Source organism: Homo sapiens, chromosome 3 (assembly GCF_000001405.40).
Source record: "Homo sapiens chromosome 3, GRCh38.p14 Primary Assembly".
Lineage (NCBI taxonomy): Eukaryota > Metazoa > Chordata > Mammalia > Primates > Hominidae > Homo > Homo sapiens.
The window spans coordinates 153,172,165-153,178,383 of NC_000003.12; positions in this window are offsets into that span (position 1 = coordinate 153,172,165).

Sequence of the window (6,219 nt, forward strand, 5' to 3'; positions counted from 1 at the left end):
ATAAACAGAGAACGTGTCTCTATAGAATAAATAAGTCATTAATTATTTAGCCATAGTACCTGTTTTTCTCTTTCTTTTATATATCATTTCATTCATCCACATCTGGTTTATGCAAATGGTTCTCTAATATAATCCACATCAATTGATTAAAAAAACTAAGAACTGTGTAACTGATGGCTATATAAATGTGCTTTTTGACGTATGTTTCCACTATATTTGAGGTGCAGACTGAGACACATCCAACCAGAGATCATTGCCTCTAATCAGACATTACCTTTAGGTTTGGGCATAAGCTCTGTTTTGGTTTTAAAACTGATGAATGAAGTTTTCTAGAAAATGAATTAGATTGTAGGAATATTCATCTTAATATACTTCGAACTGTGGAAAAATATTTGCAGACCATCTCTTCTTCCTCACTAATCTTGTACTGAAGTAAGAAAAAATGAGAAATAAGCTAAATGCATCTCTAAGAAAGTATCGTATCATGAAAGGCAGAGTCAACAACGGTGAAAAACCTAAGAAGCAAAATTGTTTTTCTGCATTTTTGTACAAACCAGCTTTTATTTTGTTATTGAGGAAGTATAAATAGTGGTAAGGGTAATGAAATATTTTTCTGAATCATTTTGTTAGCGTTCAGCAGGAGGTCTTTATACTGTTTCCTTGTTGCTTAGACGTAAGAATGTGATGGAGCTGAGAAGGGAGAATAAACTGCAGGCCGAGGTGGAATTGTTCTTCAGCTCACACTTCCACTCCTACGTTCCTCCAATACCAGAGGATTTCCTTGTGTTCGAAGTTGTGATCTGCTGTGACTCAAGACTGAGGCTCAGGGCTCCTCCTGGCCAAAGGTGAAGAAGCCTATAGGATGCAGTGATGCTGCTGCTGTAATAAATTGGACTCAAGGCAGGATTTCTCAACCTTGTCCCTGTTCACATTTTGAGCTAGGTAATTTGTTGTGGAGGCTGTCCTAGGCATTTTAGTATGTTCAGCAGCAGCCCTGGCCCCTACCCACTCGATGCCAGTATCATCCTCCCCACCCCAGTGGTGACAACCGAAAGTGTCTGCAGACATTGTCCCTGGGAAGGGGGAGGGCAAAATAGTCCCTGGTTGAGAACCACTCCTCTAAACTAGACCTTGTGTGGATGAAGGAGGCATAAACCAGAGAGGAGGTTTGAACCTAGAGTAAACTAGCAGCAGTTAAGACTTCCCTTTCCCCAGAGCATTGCAATTCATGCTTCTCTTCAAAAATAATAATGCTTTTTTTTTTTTTTTTCTAGACTGAGCTTCTTTCACCCAGGCTGGAATGCAGTGGCGCGATCTCGGCTCACTGCAACTTCCGCCTACCAGGTTCAAGTGATTCTCCTGCCTCAGCCTCCCGACTAGCTAGGATTACAGGTGCACCACCACGCCCGACTAATGTTTGTATATTTAGTAAAGACGTGGTTTCTCCATGTTGGCGAGGCTGGTCTGGAACTCCTCACCTCAGGTGATCTGCCTGCCTCAGCCTCCGAAAGTGCTGGGATTACAGACGTAAGCCACCACGCCCGGCCTACAACACTATTGTGCTTCTGACAATATAACTTTGGTCAGTTCATTAAATCCACACCTAAGAGAAATACGTAGTATTCAGGGATTAACATTTGTTGGAAATTTTGGTTCCCTGGAGGGAGAAGGAATATTCAAAAGAGGAGTGTGTTCTGGTTGAGGTGATGAACTTGGATGGCCAGAGATTATCTCTGGGAAGCCTGATGACTAAGCAGAGAGGCCTGTGTGTTAAGTATGAGAAGTCCTGAAGGGGAGGTTGAGAGCAACTATGTTGCAGTTTTGTTTCCTGCCCCCTTAAGTCTTTACTGGGAGACAGTTGGAAGGTGCTCATCCTTTACTCATCTTCCTCCAGCTCACCTCATAGCCTCTTTCCAGCCCACTCCAGGCTTCTATTCAATACCTGACCTCCCTGCTGGGATAGAAAGGATGCACTTTATGCATTCTGTCCTTCTTTATTTTCATTTTTACAATTAGCTCCTTCTGTCCCCTCCCCTCCCCTCCCCTCCCTCCCATCTTTCCTAACAAATAACAGTGTGTCCAGGGCGACTCCTGCTGCTTAACTTCACACACCTACCTGTGCCCAAACCTCTCAGCAAGCCTGTCAAGAAGGGGGCAGCAGAGACAGTAGTGATTGGTGATTGCATTGTAATAAAGTGCCTCGAATCTGACAGCCTGTGGTTAGCACATACGGGGTGGCTGCCAACCCCCTGGAATACAGTATTAAGTATACTGTTAGCAAGTTCGTTAATGTGGAATTAACTCAATGATCATGGATCTTTAATTTACTCTGAATCAGACACGGTTGTTTTTGTCCTTAAGTTTTAAATGAAATGGACATTTAAAAACCTATGCAGCATATTCCTAAGCTTTCAGCAATCACACTATTAGCCACCCTACCTGTTGGGACAATTAAGATTCTGCATTTTACAGGGGGCACATTTGGAAATTAAACATTCCTAGTATATAGTGAATGTCAAAGTTTTTTTTTGTTTTGTTTTGTTTTTTTTTTTTTTGAGATGGAGTCTTGCTCTGTCGCCCAGGCTGGAGTGCAGTGGCACAATCTTGGCTCACTGCAGCCTCTGCCTCCTGGGTTCCAGTGATTCTCCTGCCTCAGCCTCCCGGGTAGCTGAGATTACAGGCACGCACCACTGCGCTCCGCTAATTTTTGTATTTTTAGCAGAGATGGGGTTTCACCATGTTGGCCAGGCTGGTCTCGAACTCCTGACCTCAGGTGATCCTCCCACCTTGGCCTCCCAAAGTGCTAGGATTACAGGTGTGAGGCACCATGCCTGGCCTAAGCCACTGAGCACAGCCAAAATTTTGTAAATGAGCAAGAACAATCTCAAGTCCACCAAAAGGTTCTAACCAACTAGAATAATTTTTATAAACAAGGTAGGTAATAAATGAAATAATTCTTTACAATATAAAAAAAACTTTGATTAAAGTGAGTGATTTGAGAAGCTAAAACTTGCTTTTCAAATTTAGGAATAGTCTTGTATTAGAATGGATGATGTAGGTAGAAATATTTTATCTGTAATGTCTGTATAAATTGAAAATGGAAACACAATTTTTTTAAAAAAAGTTTAGATTCAGGGGATACGTGTTTGAGGATGCCGGTTCGTTACATGGGTATATTGGGTGATGCTGGGATTTAGGCTTCTAGTGAACCCATCACACAACTAGTGAATGTAGTACCTGATATATACATTTCAGGTCCCGCCTCCCTGCTTCCCTCCCTCTTTTAGGAGTCCCAGTGTCTAGTGTTTCCATCTTTATGTGTATATATACCCAGTGTTTAGCTCCCACTTTTAAGTTAGACATGTAGTATTTGATTTTCTGTTTCTGCATAAATTCACTTAATGGCCTCCAGCTGCATTCATGATGCTGCAAAGGACATGATTTTGGTTTTGTTTTTTTTTTTTATGGCTGCATAGTATTTCGTGGTTTATGTGTACCATATTGTCTTTATCCAGTTCACCGTTGATGAACACAGGTTGATTCCATGACTTTGCTATTGCCAGTAGTGCTGCAGTGCTGCAATGAACATACAAGTGCAGGTTTCCTGTTTTTTTTTGTGGGGCGGGGACAGGGTCTCCTTCTGTTATTCAGCCTGGAGTGTAGTGGCGTGATCATGGCTCACTGCAACCTTGAACTGCTGGGCTCAAGCGATCTTCTTGCCTCAGCCTCTGAGTAGCTGGGACTATAGGCATGTGCCACCATACCTGGCTAATTATTTTGAATTTTCTGTAGAAACAAGGTCTTGCTATATTGCCCAGGTTAGTCTCAAACTTCTGGGCTCAAGCAGTCTTCTTGCTTCAGTCTCCCAAAAGAGTGGGATTATAGGTGCAGGCCACCAAACTGAGCCAAGGTGTCAAACAATTTTTTTTTGCTTAGGATAGACACCCAGTAGTAGTATTGCTGGGTAGAATGGTAGTTTTATTTTTAGTTATTTGAGAAATTTTCATACTGTTTTCCATAGAGGTTGAACTAATTTACATTCCCACCAATGGTGTGTAAGCATTCCTTTTTCTCTACATCCTCTCCAACATCTGTTATTTTTTTACTTTTTAATTATAGCTATTCTGATTGGTGTAAGATGGTATTTCATTGTGGTTTTAATTTGCATTTCTGTGATGATTAAGGATGTAGAGCATTTTTTCTTGTTTGTGGGCCATTTATATGTCTTCTTTTGAGAAGTGTCTGTTCATGTCATTCGCCCCTTTTTAATGGGTTTTTTTTTTCTTTTTGATTTGTTTAAGTTTCTTACAGATTCTAGATATTAGTCCTTTCTTGGATGCATAGTTTGCAAGTATTTTCTCACATTATGTAGATTGCGTGTTTATTCTGTTGATTGGGAAACAAGATTTAATTGGTTACGTGATCACAATTAACAGAGAAAACAGATTTCTTGTTTTTTTTTTCTGTTTTCTTCTTTTATAATCATCCGTGTCGTTTTGCAGCATTTTTTCCTTATCTTTAGGTTTTATTGGCTTTGAGGAGTGTTATATTTTCTTTCTAATTAAAAAGTCTAGACTGGGCACAGTGGCTCACGCCTGTAATACTGGCACTTTGGAAGACCGTGGCAGGCGGATCACTTAAGGTCAGGAGTTTGAGACCAGTTTGGCCAACGTGGTGAAACCCCGTCTCTACTAAAAATACAAAAATTTAGCTGGGTGTGTTGCATGCCTGTAATCCCAGCTACTTGGGAGGCTGAGGCAGGAGAATCGCTTGAACCTGGGAGGCGGAGGTTGCAGTGAGCTGAGATCGCACCAGTGCACTTCAGCCCGGGCAACAGAGCAAGACTCTGCATCTAAAAACAAACAAACAAACAATAAATAAAAAGTCTATATTGAGAAAATACTCACTTATGAATCGCTCTATATAGTAGCCAAGAAAATGTATGTATTAAATTGAAACAATTGTGCAGGATGTTTTACAATGTCATTATTTGCATTTACCTTTTATAGCCTGGGAATAATTTTTAATGCAACATTTTCAGTGGAAATGAAATTCACCCTTTGATTAATTATAATTTATTATTTTAAAAATGTAATAATTATTTTTAAAAGTATTATCTCTCTTTACATTTTATAGCAAACTTAACTCATAATTTTTCTGTTTAAACTTTACTCAGAAGAGTATCACTTTATGAGTAGGACCAAAAAAAAAAGAATGTATGTGAATTCCCTAAAGTCACTGTGTAGTTGTTTGCATTGATCAAGGTGGTGATAATTTTGGCAAAATATTTGCCCTCTTAAATACAAGTAATAGAATTATTAATAATTGATTTGTACTGGCCAGTAGGGATGCATAAAAAATGTATTCAGAATGGCATGTTGTAAACAATTTTGTATAATGAATAGAGTAGATAATACAGCAGAAATAAATAAACCAGGCCAGTTGTGGTGGCTCACACCTGTAATCCTAGCACTCTGGGAGGCTGAGGCTGGAGGATCACTTGAGCTCAGGAGTTTGAGACCAGCCTGGGCAAGAAGGAAGGTCTAGGGCTGAAGGCTATTGTTCAGATTCATTTGTCCCATGGGGTGTTCCCTTGATGTGATACTCACCCCCTCTTCCTATGGATGTGGCTTCTTGAGAGCCCAGCTGTAATGATTGTTATCTCACTCCTGGATCTAGCCACTAGGCAAGTCGACCAGGCTCCGGGCTGGTACTGGGGGTTGTCTGCACAGAGTCCTGTGAGGTGAACCACCTGTGGGTCTCTCGGCCATGGATACCAGCACTGTATTTGGGGTGTTTCCTGGGTCCTGCAGGAGCAATCTGTTTCCTTCAGGGGGTCTGTGGGTCCCCTAGGTTTCCTGATTTATTCCTGCAGTCATTCTGGAGCAAAAATTCATGATGAGAGCCTCCACACACTGCTCTGTCTGTCCGAGTCGGAGCTGCAATCTAGTCCTGCCTCCCGTTTGTCATGATCCTATGTGCATTTTAGAGCAAAGATGAAATCTGTATGAAACTTATTATCTAAAAAATTGATCTTTCAGTGTATTTTTCTTCTGGTATTTTAAAAAAATATATAGTTCACTTAAACAGAGTTAGAGCTTTTGTCCAAAATACTAAGTTATGATTTGCATAGCAACCATAATTCACTTCTTACATAACTGTCTGCTTCATGCCATAGTGAATATATGCAATATATTCAAACATATCTTTCCTTAAGAT